The sequence below is a fragment of the Homo sapiens genome, chromosome 22 (assembly GCF_000001405.40).
Source record: "Homo sapiens chromosome 22, GRCh38.p14 Primary Assembly".
Classification (NCBI taxonomy): Eukaryota; Metazoa; Chordata; class Mammalia; order Primates; family Hominidae; genus Homo; species Homo sapiens.
In genome coordinates this window covers 27,697,809-27,719,690 of record NC_000022.11, presented here as the reverse complement: position 1 = coordinate 27,719,690, position 21,882 = coordinate 27,697,809, and the positions used below count along the sequence as shown (strand labels likewise).

At 50.3% G+C, this 21,882-nt stretch overlaps 1 long non-coding RNA gene across 1 annotated transcript in view, besides 1 other annotated feature; it reads left to right on the top strand.

The window, feature by feature from the left end:
• Nucleotides 744–1,943: an enhancer, noted in NCBI's record as "P300/CBP strongly-dependent group 1 enhancer chr22:28113736-28114935 (GRCh37/hg19 assembly coordinates)". NCBI's record gives its function as "activates an origin of replication core promoter dependent on BRD2, BRD4, P300/CBP, MED14 and CDK7 cofactors, with strong dependence on P300/CBP, by STARR-seq in HCT116 cells {active_cell/tissue: HCT116}" and the evidence as "EXISTENCE:reporter gene assay evidence [ECO:0000049][PMID:35650434]".
• The window catches only part of CPMER (cytoplasmic mesoderm regulator), a 39,211-nt gene continuing 22,049 nt past the window's right edge, over nt 4,721–21,882 (top strand). Inside the window, exons 1-2 of the long non-coding RNA NR_186699.1 lie at nt 4,721–4,810; nt 12,875–12,997. This is a non-coding gene — a long non-coding RNA (cytoplasmic mesoderm regulator). The remainder of the gene's footprint in view (nt 4,811–12,874; nt 12,998–21,882) is intronic.

Sequence of the window (21,882 nt, the reverse complement as noted above, 5' to 3'; positions counted from 1 at the left end):
GCTAGCGTGCGGGAGGGTAAGAGGCATGTGGGGGACAGAACCGAGTTACTCAAGTTGTTCCAGCTGAAGCCAGCCTAGACCAACCGACAGCCAGCCAAGCCCCGGACATGACAGCAAATGCAGCCATGACTGGCAGAGCCACCTGGCCAAGCATCCTTGATGTGCAAGCAATAAATAAATGCTTAGCATGGGCACCACTGAGGACATGTCATTATTTTGTCCTGCAGATTTATCGTGACAGAGAGAACAGATAGGGACAGTGGGAGAGAAAGGAGGGAGGAAATGTCTTCCTTAAGCCATTTCTGTGTCTCCTTTGTTGGATGCCACGATGGTGGACCCTGAGACACCTTCTTGTCCACTCCCTGCATCCACCCTTTCAGCCACAGAGAAGGTGTGACATTGGTTTTCTACAGCTGTGCTTAAGTACCTGTAATTAATAGCAAGGATGACTCCAAAGCCCCATCCTAGCCTGCGCACTGCACTCAGAGTAGAGTTTGCAGGAGTTGAGTAATTGTATTGTTTATTGCACTAAATGGAACATTAATCAAACTGCTTGAAGGCACTCAAGCTGTCCCCAAGGGGTGTGTGCTCTGCAGAGTGTCTGGATGGAAAGTAGGTACTCGCTGGACCTGTCTAGTGGACGTGGGAGATTCCAGCTCCAGCTTTCCAGGTACCACCCCCATGCCTCCCATGCCTCTCTGTTCTTCCTGTGTTTTGGGCTCCATTTTACAGATATGGGAGTTGAGGCCCAGAGAGGTCAAATCACTTGCTCAAGATCACCCAGCAAGGGAGGGAGAGGGAGAAAATTTGAAGCCAGGTGCACATGTGTACAGAGCCAGGCTCAAAGCAATGCCCTGGCAGGGTCTCCTGGGTCACCAGGTAGCCCTGTGAGCTGTTTTTCTCAGCTTTGCTGAGTCCTGGGAAGAGAGAGAATGAAGGAGGCAGACAACACTGATGCACAGAGATGACTTGTTTAAAGCAGCAGAAAGACTCCTGAGCATGGGGCCTCAGTAAATCTCCATGAAGTGGTCCTGATCAGGTGCAAAGTGTGGAGGAGGGAGTGGCGTTGATGGGCACAGCTCCAAGAAGTCTTGGGTGACTCTCCATCTCATTCCTTTGCGTGGGGAGGGGGTATCTCTCCTCCCTATTCTTCGTGACAAGGTGGCTATTTTTAAACCCCTCTTTTTGTAGTGTTCATGTCAAAGTCACCACGCAAGGAATACGTCAGGCGTCCTGGGAAGTGACGTTCAGGCAGACAGAGCTGGGTGGAAGCCTCGGGCTGATGTTGGAGCAGCCAGGCATGCAGCCTGGGTGGGGCTTTGATGAGTCACTCCGCTCTTCCTCTCTGCTCCCCGTCACTCTGAGCTGTCTTGCTGGGAGTTTCCTAGGGACAGAGACAGTAAGTCCAGCCAGAACTGACCATTCACTCAGTCTCCTAACCTGAGTCCCAGGTGCCCTCTCTTCACCTCCACTGAGCACCAAGAGCTGATGGTGCTGCCTGCCCCCTGCCACCAGCCTTAGGATGGTGGAACCCTGGCAGTCCAGCCTCCTTCCCACAATCTATTGTCCACACCTTGGCCAGAGTGCTCCTTCAAAAGAACAGATCCAATAGCGCTCTCCCCTGCTCAAAACCCTTCCATGGTTCCACTCCCATTGCCTTCAAAACAAAGTTCTCCACCCTGCGTTCTCTAATCCTGCCTTCCTGCCAGCCTCATCTCATGCCGCTCCCTGCTCATGGGACTCCCTGCCCACTCTCTGCCCTGGCTGCCCTGTACTCCAGGGTTTGGCATGTGGTAGTCCCTCTGTTTAGACCACCCTTCCTCCAACTTCCTTTACCTGGCAGAGTGCTGTTGTTGTTGTTGTTTGTTTGTTTGCTTTTTTGAGATGGAGTCTTGCTCTGTCGCCAGGCTGGAGTGCAGTGGCGCGATCTCGGCTCACTGCAACATCTGCCTCCCGGGTTCAAGTGATTCCCCTGCCTCAGCTTTCCAAGTAGCTGGGACTACAGGCGCACGCCACCATGCTTGTTAATTTTTTGTATTTTAGTAGAGATGCGGTTTCACCACGTTGGCCGGGATGGTCTTGATCTCCTCACCTTGTGATCTCCCTGCCTTGGCCTCCCAAAGTGCTGGGATTACAGGCGTGAGCCACCGTGCCCGGCCAGTGCTGTTTGTTTTAAACATCACTTCCAACAAGAACTGGGAGTTGGGATGAGGGTGGCAGGTATGGAGAAGCCACCTGGGTTGCTGGGATTAACTCAGAGGAGGGACAGTGATACCGTTTGGCTCTGTGTCCTCACCCAAATCTCATGTTGATTTGTAATCCCCAGTGTTAGGGGAGGGACCTGGTGGGCGGTGATTGCAACGTGGGGGCGGATTTTCCCCTTGCTGTTCTCGTGATAGTGAGGGAGTTCTCGTGATAGTGAGGGAGTTCTCGTGATAGTGAGGGAGTTCTCGTGAGATCTGGTGTTAAAAAGTGTGTAGCACTTTCCTCTTTGCTCCCTTGCTCTCCTTCTCCCCATGGTAAAGATGTGCTTGCTTCCCCTTCATCTTCTGCCATGAGCGTAAGTTTCCTGAGGCTTTCCAGCCATGCTTCCTGTACAGCCTGTGGAACTGTGAGTCAATTAAACCTATTTTCTTCATAGATTATGCAGTCTCCGATAGTTCTTTATAGCAGTGTGAGAATGGGCTAACATAGACAGCAATCCAGGAAGCCCATAAAATAAGATGACAGGAGCAGAGTCTAGACCAGGTAGACCAGCCAGACAATGGAGGGGATTTTTCCTTGTTGCCTGTTGACTTGGAGAACAGCGTACCTTGGGATTTTCAAACTTTTTTGGAAACTTGAGTTCCTGAGAGGATCCTGGAGGCAATGGCAGGGTTCAAGTCCCCACTGACTCTGTTTTGACCTCCTTTCACAAATCTCTCCCAGAAGATTTTATTAGGAGGATATGTTTTGCAGCTAAAAAAAAAAAGTTTGAAAAACCCTATGTTTTGAAGTCAGGCTGCATATGTTCACAACCCTGCTCAGCCACAAAGCTGTGTGGCTTTGGGTAAATTACTTAACTTCTCTGAATGACTTAAATTCTTAGTTTCCTAATCTGTAAAATGGAAATAATAATTGCACTGACCTTCCAGTTGTTTTGAAGAATGTGGCAGATTGTGTTTTTCAAAGATGGTCATAACCACATCTCTCATTCCTTATGCCCTTGTAGAATCTCACCATTTTCTCATCAAGAAGTTGAGTGGAAGTTCCCTCTCCTTGAACTTGGGTGGGCATTTGAATTGCCTCAATCAGCAGAGTAGCATGGAGGTGATGCTATGACTTCTGAGGTTAGGTCATGACAATGCCATGCACTTGTGCCTGGTTCTCCTAAGTTACTCCTTCCCAGAACCTGGCTGCCATGTTGTGAGGAAGCCCAAGAAGCCCATGGAGAGGAATGGAGACCCACCCCCATGCCCCCAGTGGATAGCTCCTGCTGAGCTCCCAGCTAACAGCTAAAACCAATTTGCCAATCATGTGAGTGAGCTATTTTGGAGGTGGGTTCTCTGCCCCACAGTTAAGTTGTCTCAGCTGATGCCATGTGGAGCTGAGATGAGCTATCCCGCTGCACCCTGCATAAATTACAGATTATGATTGTTGTTGCTTTAAGGCACCATGTTTTGGGGTAATCTGTAATACAGCAGTAGATTACTGGAACAAGGAATAGGTAAGATAATGCACATGAAGTGCTTAGCACCGGACTAGGTGCATTAGAAGCACTTTTTACACAGGAGAAATTGAGCACAGAGACAGCGATGGTTTGGCCCAAGGTCACACAGCTACTGGACATGTTTTCCCGCTACTGCTTCTGCTTCTTCTCTGCATGGAGGTAGTGAGGATGTGACTGTTGAGTTCTGAGCTGATCCCAGGGCTGGGGGACTAGCTCCTCTCCCCGAAGACTGGCACCCATTGCTGAGAGCAGGGTTTATCAACCAGATCTGGGTATTTCCAGACAAGCTTGCTGCAAGTCACCTCCTCCCTGCCTCTTCCCTCCCAGGCCCTCAATGGCTGCCCCAGGAAGGTGGGGAAAAGTGGTTCGACTGGGCATTGGCAAGTGAAGGGCCCTGGAGGCGGGGAGGGGGCATCTCCTGGCACCAGCCCCTGCTTCCTGTCTGCCTGCAGCTCCTCTTCCCAAGCATGAGTGGCTTTGAGGGAGGATCTGGGTGACTCTTTCCTCTAGGCTTTAATAATACTGTTAATTAAGCAGCCAAGAGAAGAACACGGCTGGCGCCAGCGAGGGGACAATGGTCTGAAAAGGGAACAGAGAGACGCATCAACAGCTTCCCATGCAGGGCTTTCAAAAGAGCAGCTGTGGGGAGCAGGCGGGTGGGGGACAGAAGGGACACCGCCAGAGCCGATCGCAGTGTGGCTGGGCAGGGAGGCGCTGGGATGAGCCCATGCCAGCTGTCCAGCTGTGCTTCTCTCTGGCACCCCCTGCCTTCCCAGCTGGACGAGGGCTTCTCTGGAGCTTCTGGACAGGCTGGATGAAACAGGCAGCCAGAGGGCACCAGCTGGTCCACCCAGACCCCCCATGACACCTTATTTTGCCTCCATTTCCTCATCTACAAAATAGAAGGGTTGAACTAGTTTGCATTTCTTCTTATGTGCTGATCTCAATAGAAGGTGACTACTTGGAACGTTGACTTGAGAATTTAGAAGCCGAATCAATGCTCCACGGAGAAGCATGCTGGGATTGATTTGTGATGTCTGCCACGAATATAAGATTGGCCATTTGGGGCATGAATGCTATTCATGGATTGGATCTCCTAAGGTACATTCATTCAACCAATAAGTAGTTAAAAACCACCTACTAAGTGTAGGTCTTCTCACTCTCATCTAGTTTCCTCATTTATACAATGAGTACCTAGGGAGAAGTAGAGTCATCCCTCAGCATCCAGGGGGAATTTGTGCCAGGATACCACATGGGTATGAAAATCCACAGATGCTCAAGTCCTTTATATACAAAGGGAGTATTATCTGCATATAACCTACGCATATCCTCCCACATACTTTAAATCATTTCTAAACTAGTTATAATACCAATACAATGTAAATGCTATGTGAAGAGTTGTTATACTGTATTGTTTAGGGAATAATGACAAGGAAAAAAGTCATGTTCAGTACAGGCACAACCATCCATTTTATTTTTTCCAAATATTTTCACTCTGGTTTGTTGAGTCCATGGATGTGGAACCCACATATATGGAGGGCCAAGTGTACTTTCTTTTTCTCTGGGCTGTGATCTTTGGAGACAGAACAAATAGGAAGAAATCAGGGCCAAGAGAGAAGAGATATCAGGAGTGCTCAGAAGAAAGTGGTGGTATTTGCATATCGCCTTAAATCGGGTTGGCAAACCACAACCCCCGGGCTAATAAAGTTTGATTGGAATACGGCCACACCCACGTGTTTATGTATGGTCTGTGGTGCAGAGTTGAGTGGTAGGAGGGACAGAGAACTTATGGCTCACAAAGCCTAAAGTAGTTACTGTCTGGCTCTTTACAGGGAACCTTTGCCGACCCTGCTGTATACAATTCAAGGCATTTTCCCAGTCATCCTATCACTTGCTTTTCATGCCAACTCTCTGAGTTTAGCAGGGCAGACATTATGAAGTCCCATTTTCCGAAGAGGAAACTGCACCCCAGCCCCAGAAGGCCAGGCCTTGAACTTGAGCTTCCTATTTCTTTCCCTGGGCCCCCTTCTCCACGCTGCCTTCCATCTGACTCCAAAAGCTGCCAAGCTTTTTGATTTTGCTTCTGAAATCTCTGGCATCAGTCTCAGCCCCCAGTATCACTCACCTGATTGATGCTAACATCCTCCGGGATTTCTCCTTCTAAGCTATCTGATAGTGGCTAGAGAGGTTTTTCTTAAGCCCAAATCTAAATCAGGCCACTCCCTTGCTCAAAGCCCTCCCATAGCTCCCCCATGCTCCACTCCAAAGCCTGAGCTCTTTAGCATGATCTGTAAGGTCCCTGCTGCGCTTGGAGCCTCCCCTCTTCCCTGTGTATTCTGGAGGCATGTTGCTCCTTTGCTCCTCCCAGGAATTTCTCTCCACCCCTTCACACAGGATTTCTCGTTGCTAAGACCTCATTCTTTAAGGCTCAACTCAGTTCATGAGCCTTCTCTGCTCCCTCCCCATGTTCAGCCAGGTTAGTGCCTCCCCTGCCCATACTGACCTGGCCATTTGGGGCGTGAAGGCTATCCATGGATCGGATCTCTGAAGGTCCACTCATTCAACCAATAAGCAGTTAAAAACCACCTACTAAGTGTAGGTCTTCTCCCTCTGATCTAGCTTCCTCATTTATTATTATTCACTAGTGCACAGGCCTAGCATCCAGTAGGCATTCACTAAATGCTCTCACAGCCTTGCTGATGGGAACTTGCCCTCAGCTCTGAAACCCCAGGCCCCACTGTTAGCCTAATGCAGAGAGGTGCCCAGCCCCCGAAGACCCCCGAGGGCTCTCTACTCCTTCCCTCTCTATGGCTGCCCCAGGGCCTGAATGGCTTGAAGCTGTGAATTTGCTAGGCAAGGACCACGACAGCTCTTGGCCTCATTATTTTTGGCATCTGTCTTATTCCTTAAGCATCTTCTGTGGGGAAGAAGAACAGCTTGATAGGAAAATGCTCTGACAGACATTCTACCATTAACACATTTTTCCCATGCCCTGAACGTGCCCCACAATCCTTCAGGAAGCATCTATAATGGACAGAAAAAGGGATGGCAGTAAGGCTACAATGTTTCCAGGGGCAGGGGAATGAAAGAAGGCAGGCACTAACACCACCAAGTACCTATTGTGTGCCATATCCTATTCTGCTAATTATAGCTACCATTTGTATAGCCTTTACTTACGTGCCAGCCACACACACACACACACACACACACACACACACACACACACACACACACACACAAAGCTCAGGACTGGCTTCAGGCATGGCTGGATCTAGGTGCTCCAACAATGTCTGCAGGGCAGGACCTGGTCCCATTTTCCTCTCACAGGCAAGCTCTTTTTACAGAATCCTGAGTAATTCCAGAACTATATTCTCTTGTCAGAACTAAGACAAGAAAAACCTAAAAAAGCTTTTTATTAATAGTTTCAGCACAAGTTCCAGGACTCATTCTCACTGATTGTACTTGGGTCATGTGCATGTTCCTGAGCCAATCACAGGATCAGGAATGGAGCATTTTGATTGGCCAAGCCCAGGTCATGTGCCCTTCCAAGAGCTGGGGACTGGGATAAGGCTCTCTTAAACATCACAGAGAGAGGCCAAGGCAGGAGGATCACTTGAGGTCACGAGTTCCAGACCAGCCTGGCCAACATGGTGAAACCTCGTCTCTACTAAAAAATACAAAAATAAGCCAGGCATGGTGGCACATGCTTGTAATCCCAGGTATTTGGGAGGCTGAGGCAGGAGAATTACTTGAACTCTCTAGGCAGAGGTTGCAGTGAGCTGAGATTGCGCCACTGCACTCCAGCCTTGGCAACAGAACAAAACTCCATCTCAACAAACAAACAAACAAACAAACACAAACAAACAAAAAAAATCGAAAAACAACTAACATCACAGTCCAAGGGAGGTGGGAGAATGACGGATGATCCCTGAGGGAGAATCAGGGTGCTGGACAGGCAGAAACAATTGTCTTTCACAGGGGCCTGCAAATCTCACTTTTATGTTACTAATGAGGACACAGAGTTACAAAAAGGCAAATGGGCTGCCCAGACTCACAAGGCTGATATGTGGCAGAACCTTGATTGGAGCTCAGGACTCCAGGACTGACTTATAAAAGCCCTGGGGAGGCCAGGCACGGTGGCTCCTGCCTGTAATCCCAGCACTTTGGAGGGCTGAAGTGGGAGGGTTGCTTGAAGCTAAGAGTTTGAGACCAGCCTGGGCAACATAGTGAGACCCCATCTCTAAAAAACACCCCAAAAGCCCTAGGGAGCAATAAACTGTCCTTCTTTTCTCTCCCCCATATTTATTGAGCACTAATTATGTGCCAGGTACTATACTTTGGAGATTACAGTGGTGAATACGACAGATGTGATCCCTGCATTGATGGAGCTTAAACTTAAAGAAGTCAGTTTCTGGCCTCCCTTGCTCATTGCTCTACCCTCCACCTGGACAGCCCTTTCCACCCCCACCAGTCTCAGTCCCCAGTGACCTGTGTTCCAATCTTCCCTGTCTCTCTAGGTCTAGTTAGGGTCGTGCCATCCCCTCCAAGCCTGCCTTGCTGGTTGCAGCCAGACCTTCCCTTCCTTGCCTGAGTCCTGCAGCCCCTCTCTCCCATTAGGTTGCCCCTGCTTGCCCCTGAGATGTGCAGAAAAGATGGGGAGGCTGCCCCATCCTCTGAGGTTCTTGTTGGGGGAGGGAGAGGCAGGGAAGAAAGAGGATGGGCCAGACTGGGTTCTAGCAGCTGTCACCGCAGGGGCACACCCACATACACATCACACCCACAAACACACATGCACACATGCATACTCACTCATTTGCTCATTCGCAAGCATTTATTGTGTGCCTACTGTGTGCCGGTTACAATGCCAGTATTAGGGACACAGTGGTGAACAAGAGCAGGTCCTGGCCCTACCCAGTCCCCACTCCCCATTCCCCAACAGGGAGCTCACAGAGTAAGCACACAGTGCTTCAAGAGGGAGACATATAGAGTGATGAGAGTGTATACCAGGAAGGGCTTCCTGGAGGAAGTGGCAGCTGAGATATGAACTAGGTAAAGAGCAGAAGGGACAAGCATTCTAGGCTGGGAGGGAACAGCATGTGTGAAGGGTCTTCGGGGAGAGGAAGCATGGGCTCTGACAGGTTGAATGGAGGTCAGTGTGGCAGCAGCCTGAGAGAGACAGGGTGAGTCAGGACTCAGCTGTGGGGAGGAGGGCGATGGGGCCATGGGAGCCATGGAGGGTTTTAAAGAAGGGAAAGGCAGACGCAGACTTGGGTTTAGAAAGAGACTTCTGGTTGCTGTGCAGAGAAAGGCCTGGGAGTGTGGGTGCAGTTAGAGGGGGCAGCTGTGCCCTCCAGATGGACATGACAGGGGCCAGCAGTAGGGAGACTAGGTCAGGTTAGCAGGTGGCATGATGGGGAGGAGAAGCTGAGAGATTTGAGAGAAATTTCGATGGTAAAGAGGAAGGAGTGCAGATGCCACTGGTATCCGGTGTGGGCAGTGGGATGATACTCTGTACAACCCCTGCCTGGGGCCCCAGATACGGAGAAGGTGCAAGGCGGGGGAAGGTGCCCCTTACACTCTTAATACCTCCTTCAGACCTCCCTCACACCCCCACTCACAACCTCACAGACAACTCAACATAGTCACATGCACAGTCTCACTCACAAATTCATCTTCTTACATTCCCTTACTCACCAGTCCACATAGTCCCTCTATCAGTCAGTGCAGGATGGGTTATGCCATAGTAGCAAACATCCCCCAACACAGCACTGTTCAGCAGTAGAGGTTTCACTCACACCTATGCTATCTTACTCCCCCTGCTCTACCCACTCCCACTTCCCGTCATTCACACCCAGTCCCTGTATCAGTCAGCCTGGGCTGGATTTGGCTGTAGTAACAAGCAGCCCCAAACCTTAGCACCACACAGCAGTAGGGGCTTGTTTCCTGCTCACGCTCTATCCATCGTGGCTGGGTGAGGGCTTTCTTTCACCTCATCTTTCCTCCCAGCACACTGATATGCAGCCTCTCTCTTCTTGTGGTTGTGGAAGAGCAAAGGAGACGGTGAACCAGGAAGGGACTCTTGAAACTCCACCTGAAAGTGACACATGGCATTTTCACATTTTATTGGCTTGAGCAAGTCCCGTGGCCATGTTGGATGTCAAGACAGAGCGATCCTTCTGCATGGAGGGGCAAAGACTATCTATGCCTATGAATACTACAGGCCACTAATGCACCCACGTTTCTTCCCATGGGAACCCCTTCACTAAAACACTCACTGGCAGTCACACCTCTGCTAGTCACACACACATTTTCAGCCACATACTGTTTGTTCACTGTGCATACCCTTGGTGACACATGTATGTACTTGCACTTAACTCATACCCATCCCTCACTCATGAACACACTTTTTCAGAGCAGCTCTGATCCACACACCCTCTTTGTCACTGCTCTACACACCCTCTTTGTCACTGCTCCACACAATCACAGGCACACTTTAATTTTGCACACTTTCCCACACTTAACTTGGTTAACACCTACATCTACCCTGCTAGAGGCTGAAAGTTTGTGTTGCCCCAAAATTCATATGTTGAAACCTAACCCCCAAGGTATTGGTATTAGGAGGGGGGGACATTGGGCGGTGATTTGGTCATGGGTATGGAGCCCTCATGTCATGTATGGCATCAGTGCTTGTCTTAGTCCCGTTTCTCATGTTATCACAGAATACTGGAAACTGGGTAATTTATAAAGAAAAATTTATTTCTCATGGTTCTGGAGGCTAGGAAGTCCAAGAGCATGGTGCTGGCATCTGTTGAGGACATTTGTGCTGCATCAGAACATGGCAGAAGGCATCACATAGCAAGTGAGTACATGAGACCAAGAGAGAGTTGGACAGAACTCATCCTTTTATCATTCCCACCATAATTGACCTATTCCTGTGATAATGGCATTAATCCATTCATGAGGACAGAGCCCTCATAACCTAATCACCTCTTAAGGCCCCATCTCTCAATACCCTTACAATGGCAACTAAGCTTCAATGTGAACTTTGGAGGAGACATTCAAACCATAGTAGCGCTGTTATAAAAGAGGTCCCAGGCCAGGTGTGGTGGCTTATACCTGTAATCAAAACACTTCCGGAGGCCAATGTGGGAGGATTGCTTGAGCTCAAGAGCTTGAGACCAGCCTGGGCAACATAGTGTGACTGTGTCTCTACTAAAAAAAAAAATAAAAGTTAGCTGGATGTGGTGGCACATGCTTGTAGTCCCAGCTACATGGGATTCCATGGGAGGATTGCTTGAGCCTAGGAGCTGGAGGCTGCAGTGAGCCGTGATTGTACCGCTACACTCCAGCCTGGGTGACAGAGCAAGACCCTGTCTCAAAACAATAATCATAAAAAAAGAGGCTCTAGCCCAGGTGCAGTGGCTCATGCCTGTAATCCCAGCACTTTGGGAGGCTGAGACAGGTGGATTACTTGAGGCCAGGAGTTTGAGACCAACCAGGCCAAAAGGGTGAAACCCCGTGTCCACTAAAAATACAAAAAATTAGCCAGTGTGGTGGCACATGCCTGTAATCCCAGCTCCCTGGGAGGCTGAGGCACAAGAGTTGCTTGAATCCGGGAGGTGGAGGTTGCAGTGAGCTGAGATCATACCACTGCACTCTAGCCTGGGCAACAGAGCGACACTTTGTCGCAAAAAAAAAAAAAAATAAAAATAAAAAATAAAAGGCCCTTGAGAGCTTCTTCACCCTTGCCACCATGTGAAGACACTTTGAGAAGGAGGGGCCATCTCTGAACCAGGAAGCCAGCCCCCACCAAACATGGAATCTACCAGAGCTTTGGTCTTGGACTTCCCAGCCTCTAGCACCTTGAGAAGTAAGTTTCTGTTATTTGCAAGCCATCCAGTCTACAGTATTTTGTTATAGCAGATTGATTGGACTCAAACATGCCCACAGTTTCAATAACATGTAGCTTTCAGACACAAAGGTGCGCACTCATCTCTTCAATCATACATCCTTCCAGTCATGCCCCCGCACACACTCACATACAAGCACCTGCAGCCACCTCTTCTGCACATATACACGTGCACACACCTGGCACAAAGACACCTCACATGCACACACAGTAGCACACTTAGAAATCAGGCTCATTTGCTCCCTCCCAAGTGAAAAGGTCTCAGGGTCTTCTGCTCTCTGGGTGTGAACATGCAACTCCATCTGGCTTGAGTGTGCTGGTGCCACACTCCGAAGGCAGGCAGGTGGGTTCGCATGGAGCCTTGCTTGGTGAAAAGTCTCTAAAGCCCCCAACCCCGGCGCCAGGCTTGGTCTCCTTACCTCTCCAGGCGGGCTTGATCTGCAGTGCCTCCGTAATAGGCTGTTCAGGGAGAATCGATCAGCCTCTGTGTACACTGACCACAGAAAACATAATTAACAGTGTTTGGGATCCATTAATTGCACTGGCTAGGAATTCCAAACAATCTAATTTGAAAAGTCACTTAGGAGTGTATCTTTGCCTTGATGGAGCACGGGGTGCCTGAAATAGCTGTAGGGGACCAGCACACCCAGGCCAGGCCCCAGTGGCCTGTCCCTTCGTTAGGGGGAATTTAGGTCACTGAGGCTGTGGGAGGAGAAACTTCCCTCCTCCATAAAGCCCTCCTGGATTGCCACACGGCCCTCTGACAGCCTCTGGAATATCCTCACACCCCGGTTCAGCTCATGGCCTACAGCCTCGCTGGTTTGAGGTTGTTTTATGTGGATTTGTGCAGCCTCTTTTGTGGTCAGAGACCTTGTCTATAATACCCCTTCCCAGAGCCCTGACAGCTATTGTTATCATTATTGTTGTTGTTATTTCCTCATGGCCTCAATCTAGTGCAGGCCTTGAGGGGGTGGGTTTTGTGCGTTTTCCTTCTTTGTGAAATAGGGCTTCATTTGTCCTAAGTGCTCAAAAAGCTCAGGTCTGAGGGAATAAAAGTAAAACCAGTTTGGCTGTCCTGAGGCACTAAGAAAGATTATCACGGAAAATGTTTTGAGCTTCTTAATCTCTGAAATATGAAAATCTAATTTAAAAAAGAAAGAAAGAGAAAAAAGCCTCCGAAAATTGTTTTGGGGTTGCCTTGTGGATGTGTTTGAACCTTAAAACTCCTTCATATTCCGGCTTCTGTCTCATCCCAGAGCCCGAATTTCTGAGAAACCACTGAAGACCTGACCCCAGCGCTTAATTATTTCTCCTTTCCAAGCATCTCTCATGGAAGGCATCTTGGATGAAAAGACCTTTGGCAGCGTGGGTTTTGCAGGGTGAGTAGGAGTTTGACAGGTGGAGAAGGGGGTTGGGAAAGGGACCTTCAGGCAGAAGAAATGGCGCATGTAAAGGTAAGGCAGTGTGAGGGAGCTGAGTGAGATTAAAACAGCATTGCAGATGCAACTTGATATGAAAGTTGGACAGAACCTGAAAGACCTACCTGGAAACTTTAGTCTTTAGTCTTAGGGCACCAGGGAGCCAAGGCAGGGCTTATCAAGAGGGCGATATGATCAGATTTGCATGGTAGGAAGGTCCCTGTGGCTGTAGAGGGAGGTGAGTGGGTCTGGAAGGAGTAAAGACTTAAGTCGAGCAAGGAGCCCTGCAAGAATGCTGTTGTTCTGGTGCGAAGAAGAGGTGAGGGTGGCCTGATTGGGGTGCCAGGAGGGGAGTGGAGAGGACTAGAGGACTTGAGTCCAATTTAGGAAACTTGGTATCAGGCATGGCATGCATTCCGTACCTTCGCCTGCCCTGAGCCACCTATTTATGCCTCTAGGATTTTGCTGCTTCTGTTCTCTCTACTGAAAATGTCCTTTCTTACTGATATGGTTAGGCTCTGTGTCCCTACCCAAATCTCATCTCGAATTGTAATCCCCATAATACCCACATGTCAAGGGAGAGACCAGGTGGGGGTAGTTGAATCGTGGCGACAGTTTCCCCTGGGCTGTTCTCGTGATGGTGAGTGAGTTCTCACGAGATCTGATGGTTTTATAACGGGCTCTTCCCACTTCGCTCAACACTTCTTCCTGATGCTTTGTGAAGAAGGTGCCTTGCTTCCCCTTGGCCTTCTGCCATGATTCTAAGTTTCCTGAGGCCTCCCCAGGCATGCTGAACTGTGAGTCGATTAAACTTCTTTCCTTTATAAATTACCCAGTCTCAGGAAGTTCTTTACAGCAGTGTGAAAACAGATGAATACACTTACTTTGCCTGCCAAGAACGTTCATACTTATTTGCTGGGATCCAGCCCAGGTCTTTTTGTCTGGGAAGCCTCTCTGGTCCACCTTCTCCCTAAGGGCTGGTCGATCTCCTCCCCTTCCCTCTCCCATTACTGTGCATATCCACCTGTTATTGCATCAGTCAGACCACATCGTGACCTTGAGCTGAGGGCCAGGGACTCCTCCTTCTTCAACTTCACACGCAGACACCTGGTGCATGCCTGGCTACCAGTCACTGGCTAGTAAATATGCTGAATGGACAAACGTGTATGAGAACCTCAAGCTGTCTTTCTCAGCTGCCTGCAATCCTACCATCAGTGACACATTTGGGAATGGGCACAGATTGTGCATAGGTGCATATATGAGGGTGTGTTGTGTCTTGGAGCATGCGTTTCCATGAATGTGTGAAGTGAGGTGTGTGTGCACCATGTGTGGTGTCTCTGAGGGGTGGCAGGGACTGTGGGCGCGTGCATGGTCCATGTCGGGGGCTGGATTCACAGTGTGCCAGGCTTGCATGGCTTGTGCCCTGCTGTGGTTGGAATGTTTGTATCACCCTAGAATTTGTACGTTGAAATCTTAACACCCAAGGTGATGGTGTTAGGAGGTGGGTCCTTTGGGAGGTGATTAGGTCATGAGGGTCGATCCCTTGTGAATGGAACTAGTGCCCTTATAAAAGCAGCCCCAGAGGGCTTCCTTGCCTGTTCCACCAGGTGAGGACACAGTGAGAAGTCAGTCTAGGAACCCGGAAGTGGGCCCTCACCTGACTCTCAACCTGCCCAGGTGCCTTGATTTTGGATTTCCAGCCTCCAGAACTGTGAGCAGTGAATTCCTGTGGCTCATAAGCCACTCACTCTGTGGTGTTTTGTTCCAGCACCTCCCATAGACCAAGGCATACTCCATCCTGTGCTCCTGCCAGCGCTTCCCAAGCGTCACTCTGGCCACACGCCCCTGGAGCGGGGGCCTGGTAACGTGCAGGTCTGGATTCAGTGTGGGTTGATGAGTTTCTGCAGTTCTAACCATCTCCTGGATGCTGCTGGCCTGCACACCACACATGGCATTGCCAGGCCACTGGCACCCAGAAAGGGCCTAGGACCCATCACAGCTCACCCAGTGAGGCAGCGCTTGGAGGAAAACCCAGTTCTCTGCCCCCAGCTCAGGAGGCTGCTGTGGTCCTGGGGGCCCTGCGGCTCCCAGGAGTGTCCCCATTCTCTGCCATTCCCTGTTTTACAGGCGCTGTGAGGGTGGTTCCAGCATCAAGGGGTGTTAGCGGGTGGGTTTAATGTGCCCGGGCAATTCTCATGGCTCAGGTGCCAGCGGCCATAATTCACCTACTAAATTGTGGCTATAAATTTCCTCAAAGAGATGGGTCCCCAGGCAGGTGAGTGGGATGATGCTGGTATCATTGAGCAGAGTTCAGTCTTCTGTCCTAATTAAATGGGAGCATGAGATGGTGCGAGGCCTGGTCCCTGCCACACCAGGTGCCTGCTGTTTCACCGGGTCCCCTGGGTTTCTGGGTCTGAGGAGGCAGAGTGGGCACCCCCCATGGTGGTACGGGCAGGGGAGGTGGGCTCCAGTGTGCGCCTGTGTGTCCAGTGAAGGAAACCAGGCTCTGTTCTAAGCATCAATCCTGATACTGCTTGTCGTGGGTTAAATGGTGACCCCAACCCAATCTCCCAGAAAATGTCCCCCAGAAACTGTGAATGTCACTGTTTGGAAAAAACGTCTTTGCAGATGTAAATAAATAAAGGATCTTGAGATGGTATCAACCGGGATTAGGGAGGGCCTGAAGTCCAATGACAGGTGTTCTTGGAGAAGGAGAAGGAGAGGGAGGCCGCAGAAGAGAAGGCCGTGTGGGGATGGAGGCAGAGACTGGAGGGATGCAGCCACCAGCCAAGGAATGCTGGGGGCCACCGGAAGCTGGAAGAGATGAGGAAGGATCCTGCTGAGAGGCTTTGGAGGGAGCATGGCCCTGCTGATACCTTGATTTCAGACTTCCATTTTCTAGAACTGTGAGGGAATGCATTTTTGTTGTTGTCAGCCACTGAGTTTGTGCGAATTTGTTACAACTGCTGCAGGAAAAAAACTGCCACGTGACTCTTGGAGCCTCAGTTTCCTCTTCTAGCATGTGGGGTTCGAGTTGTGCCTTCCACTCAAGCCAGGTGTAGGGCGCGGTTCAGCGATGTCTATAAAGTGCCTGCAATAGCCTGTGATTGGCAGCTGGGATGCTTACAAGACGTGGCTGTGGCTGTGGGTGAGGCCCTGGAAAACAGGGTTGCCGGGCACAGGATGCATTGACTGAGACTGTGCTTGGAAAAGGCTTTTGCGAACTGTGAAGTGAGGGGCTGCTCCTTATGTTGATTGGGCTGTGAACCTGGGAGCCCCCAGCTGCCCCAAGAGAGCCCCTCCAGCCCATCATCCACTTTCCACTTTGCCATTTTTCCTAATTTCACTTCTACCGATGCTCATATTGATTCGGTACTTTTCATGAAACCAACTCATTCTTTCAGCTTAAATGAGCGTATTTAAAAAGGACACTTTATACTGCTAGAGTAAATGAAAAGCACGTTCCACTTGCCCTGAAAAGACGGTGACCTTAAACAAAAGTGCAACGAAAACAAAGCGGAGTGGTCTGTGAAAGTTCAGCCAGGCGCTGCCGTCTGCCGAGGGCTCTCGGCCTGAGGTCTGCTTGGTTTTTGTTAAAAAGGGAGGTAGCAAAAGGGGAGGCGTTGAAGACACATCAGCACCAAACCGAGGTTTTCTTCTTGTTAGTAATCAGGAAAGTGATCAGAGAGGAAACAATGATTTCATTTACAAAATTCTTTTTTTTTTTTTTTTTGAGACAGGGTCTTGCTCTGTCACTCAGGCTGGAGTGCAGTGGTGTGATCATGGCTCACTACAGCCACAAACTCCTGGGTTCAAGCCGTCCTCCTGCCTCAGCCTCCCAAGTAGCTGGCACTACAGGCACACACCACCATAACTGACTAATTTTTAAACTTTTTGTAGATATAGGGTCTCGCTATGTTGCCCAGGCTGGTCTTGAACTCCTGGGCTCAAGCAATCCAACTGCCTCAGCCTCCCAGAGTGCTGGGATATCGGGCATGATCCACCACACCCGGGCATTCATTATGTAATTGTTAATGTTGAGTCCATGTATCCCCCTAAATTAATCTCTCAGGGCACACACCCCACGCTATGGGAAACAATGCTCTGGCCAAGCATTCTTCCCCCACCCCTCCCCCATCCATACTCCTGGAAAACTGGTCTGGAGAGGGGGTTGGATAGACTCATCCAAGGCTGTAAAGTGAGTTGATAGCACAACCGCAACTAGAATTCACATCTTTTCATTCCCAACCCATTGCCCTTTCCACTGTACTAGACTCCCTTGCTGCTTTTTAAAAGAGGCTTTCAGTAATACATTGCTTTTTCCATGTGAGCGAGACTAGTGGTGGGGTGTTAGGCATTATGTGGCAGACACATCACTCCCCATGTGCTACAGTCTCAGAACAGGACCAGCCCCAGTGATCACCCTTCAGAGGTGAGGACGACTGGTTTTAAGGTGAGGCTCTGTGCCTTCTGCTCTTGGAACCTTAGTTGCTTTACTTGTCAAATGGGCACAAACAGCCCATCCTTGAAGGAGTATTGGGAGGCTTGGCAGCGATGAACAGGTAGCACCCACCTGGGGCACTTGACGCAGGCCTGGGCAGGGTGCCCTCCATCGGCAAGGCCCGCAGAGCTCAAGGCCAACTCTGGTGGGCTGGGACCAGGGCTTGGGACTGGGCAACCCGCGTCAGCTATCATGGTGAGCTGTTGGTTTTGTGGATTTTCACATTTTTGAAGTTGGCACAGGAATAGGAAACCCATACCTGTCCAGGTGGGCAGTGATTGGGCCAAAAATATCTCTGGTGGGTTTTTGTGGCTGCAGAGGAATGAGCACTGAGCAGGGTTCAAAGGTAGCATTCTAGGGTTTCAGCTCTGCTCCAGACATGCTGGGCACTTGGCCTCGTCATTTCTCTCTCTTGGGCCTTGCTTTGCTCATCTGTAAAGTGGAGTGACACGTCATCAGACATTCCAGTTCTCACGCACTCACTCATTCAGACCACACTGCTTGAGCCCCTCCTCTGTGCAGAGCAGGGTGCTGGAACACAGATGGAGAATGATAATCCTACAACAAACTCATTACATTAGGTGACATGAGTGGGGAATGTCGGGAGGTCGGGCCAGGTGTGATGGCTCATGCCTGTCATCCCAGCACTTTGGGAGGCTGAGGTGGGTGGATCACTTGACGTCAGGTGTTAGAGACCAGCCTGGCCAACACGGTGAAACCCCGTCTCTACTAAAAATACAAAAATTAGCCGGGCATGGTGGAAGGTGCCTGTAATCCCAGCTACTCAGGAGGCTGAGGTAGGAGAATTACTTGAACCTGGAAGGCAGAGGTTGCAGTGAACTCAGATTGCGCCACTGCACTGCAGCCTGGGCAACAGAGCAAGACCCTGTCTAAAAAAAAAAAAAAAAAAAAGAAAGAAATGTCTGGAGTTCCAACGCAGATGATCCTAGGGAGCTGACCTGGTCTTGCTGCTGGGATAGTACAGGAGCGTGGAGAAGCCTAAGAGAGCCTGGGTCTGAAATCTGGGAATCCCAGGCAGATCCAGAGGACAGTGCCGATCAGATGCCAAGCCAATGGCTGGTTATAAATTCCCCTAAATGGGGAGGGGGAAGAGACAAATGATGTTGGATGGCTGGGAGTGAACGCTGATAATTCTCCAGCCTGCTCCCCACAAACCGCTCTTGAGTTGTTACCCTTTCTTAGGAACAATAACCATTCTCTCAACTTTCAGTGCAATGGGAATAACCCTGTCTCATGTTACTATGTGGAACACAGTGGGCTGGCGAGGTACCAGGGTCTTACAGATGGGACCTCAGTCCCTTCTCTAACCAGATTCCCACCCCGAGGCCCACCGGGGTGCCATCCCGGCTGCTGCACGGGACCCTCTTGGGCGGTGCACAGGGATGTGGCATTCAGTCCCAGAGACTCTCCAAGGGACATCATTCTTCTTGAAATTCTTTTTCAGACCCTCTGTCTACACTGGGGAGAAAGTCTCTCAGCTTGGTGCTGATGTGTGTTTAATGCCTCTCTAGCCCCATGGACCTTCCTTTACAACAAAAAGAGAGAAGGCAGGCCTCGGGCTCAAATTGCCAGGAAAAAAAGCAGTAATGGTTGTCTGAGATTTAGTGACTTTTTTATTTTTTATTTTTGAGACAGGCTCTCACTTTGTCACCCAGGGCTGGAGTGCAGTGACGCGAACACAGCTCACTGCAGCCTCGACCTCTCGGGCTCAAGTGATCCTCCTGTTTCAGCCATTCAAGTAGCTGGGACTACAGGCATATGACACCAAGCCTGGCTAATTTTTGTATTTTTTGTGGAGACGGGGTTTTGCCGTGTTGCCCAGGCTGGTCTCAAACTCCTGAGGTCAGACAATCTGCCCGCCTCGGCCTCCCAAAGTGCTGGGGTTACAGGCGTGAGCCACCATGCCTGGCCTAATGACATCTTTTGTTTGCATTGTGTTTGTTTTAATTTCCTTTTCAGTGATTGTTATACGGCTTTTCCAGTTTTCCATAATGATGCTCTAAAGCTTCCTTGCAAAATAAATTTATTTAAGAGAATCAGTTTGAAGGAAACATAATGTCCAGAAACAGTTTGTTCAGGGGCCACATGGATAGAACAGGACTCAGGAAGGAGAGACTGGAGCTTGGCAACTGCCATCCTGTGGGAGTGGGAGCCGCTGCAGGTCTTGAGCAGGGGAGGGACCACCCGTGGCTGTCTCCCTGGTGATGCTGGGTTCCCAGAATCAGGCCCAGGCCTGTCCTGAGTCCATGAGGCCCCAGGCCCTGAACTTCCATGGTGATGGAGAAATATAGAGAGACAATAAGGCAGTGAACCGTGGCAGAGGGTTTATGAGGCGGCCATGCTCGAACGGTCAAAAGTTAGGGAAAATGTATTTATTACAACACTTTTCATGGGCAAGTTATCATTTTGTCAAACTTTATTAGAGGGACTAATTAATGGGTTGTAAAAAGTACTAGTGCGTGGCCAGAGAAAGAGCTGGTCCCGGGGACATTGGCAGCCCCAGGATTTATGACCCCACTGTTCCCCATTTATTAATGTGGAGAAGGTGCATGGAGTGGGTTATATATGGGCTGGTGCAGAGCCGCCCTCCCTCCCAGGAGGCTGGTGGGCCTGTGAGGGGGTGAAGGCAGAGGTCCTCTAGCCGCTGCCTTCTAGGGAAAGGCAGGTAGAGAGGCAGGTAGAGAGAGGCAGGAGGCCTGGGCTAGGAGGGAGACATCTGGCTGTGTGACCTTGGGTGACATTTTCCTCTCAACCTCAGTGTCCTCATCTGCACCTCAGGGCAGATGTGAGGAGCTAAGAAGGTCTTCAGTGGGAACATGCGATATAAACTGTGAAGTGCTCTGCACTACATAAATTATAAAGTGCTCGGTAGCTGAAGGATGGTGTGGTTATATGGTGTTATACTAGGCAGACAGCATGAATGACATTGAGGGAGCCCTACTGTATGGCAGGAACTGTGCAAATGCTTCTCTTGCTTTATTAACCCTAGTCCATGCTCCTCCTCCAGACCCTTGCCTTCTCATCTCTAGGCATTCAGCTCAGGTGCCTCTTCCTCCAGGGAGCCCTCCTGACTGCCCCCACGTGATGCACAGTGCTCAGTTCGTTTCCTCTGCAGCCCCATGCAATCTTGACTTATTTAGCGACTGGTTCACTTTGCTGTGTATTGTGTTTCCTCCACGTGGTAACAGAGCAGAGACTGTGTTCACCTTGTCCCCTGCTCTCTTCCCAGTGCCTAACACAGTAGGGGCTCAATGCATGTCTGCTAAGTAGATGAGGGAAGGCCTGCGGGCATAAAGACTGGGAGGCAGGATCATGTGGGACACATGCATGGAAGTGAAAGAAAGCCACTTGTTGGGTGGCGACTAGAGCAGGCACTCAATAAATGCAGTCGCCAGGTGGGAGGGTGGATCTGGGCCCATTCCTGACCCTCTCCACACAGCAGGGGGATCAGCTGGGGCTCGATCTTCTAGCACAAGCCCCTTCTGTCCGGGCTGTGAGTTATGGGGCTGGCTGAGCTGGGCTCCCAACCCTCTGACCCTCGGTGGAGACAACATCCCGGAGCTTTGGGTGAGAACCTGTATCGTTATCTGCTGTTTCTCAAAGGCCCACTCAGCTACACGCCTAAATAAAGAGTGTGGATGTTGGGGTGGGGAGGGTGTGCCCAGGCTGAAAATACCCACAGCAGAAATTGACCAAGGTCAGGAAATGGAGAAGACTAGAATGTCCTAGGGACATGGGTTCAAATCCTGGCTCCCCCACTTAGCAGCTGTGAGACCTTGGGCACGTCATTCAACACTCAGCCTCATTTTTCCCATCTGTACAGTGGGGATACTAAGGGTGCACCCCTCACCAGGCTGGTGCGGGGATTTGAGATGACGTCTGGGAAGCTCCTGGCACCAGGAGGTCCTTGGGAACTGGGAGAGCCTCACCCTGTTCTGTCTGAGTCCTGCTAGGGCCGAGGGCAGGAGGCAGGCGCCTCCGTGACTCAGGCTCAGCTTTCACCTGGGCTGAGCCTCGTGACTTCTGTGTGGACAGCTGGCTCCTGGCTGGGAAATGAGTTCTCCTTTTGGTCTCTTGACCGGTGTGGTATGAGGTCAGTGAGTGTTAACCTGGCAGGGACTGCTCCCTCTGCAGGGTCAGGGGGAGGACAGGAGACGAAGGTGGCTTTGAGCCACAAGAAGTGAATGACCCATAGTCTGCACCTCTGCAGCAGGGGACTGATGCACACTGGTTGTCATCCTCACTCCCCCCAGGTCGGGGCTGGCACTGTTCTGCCCACCCCTGGGACTGCTATGAGGGGCAGCTTCTGTGCGGAGCTTCACAG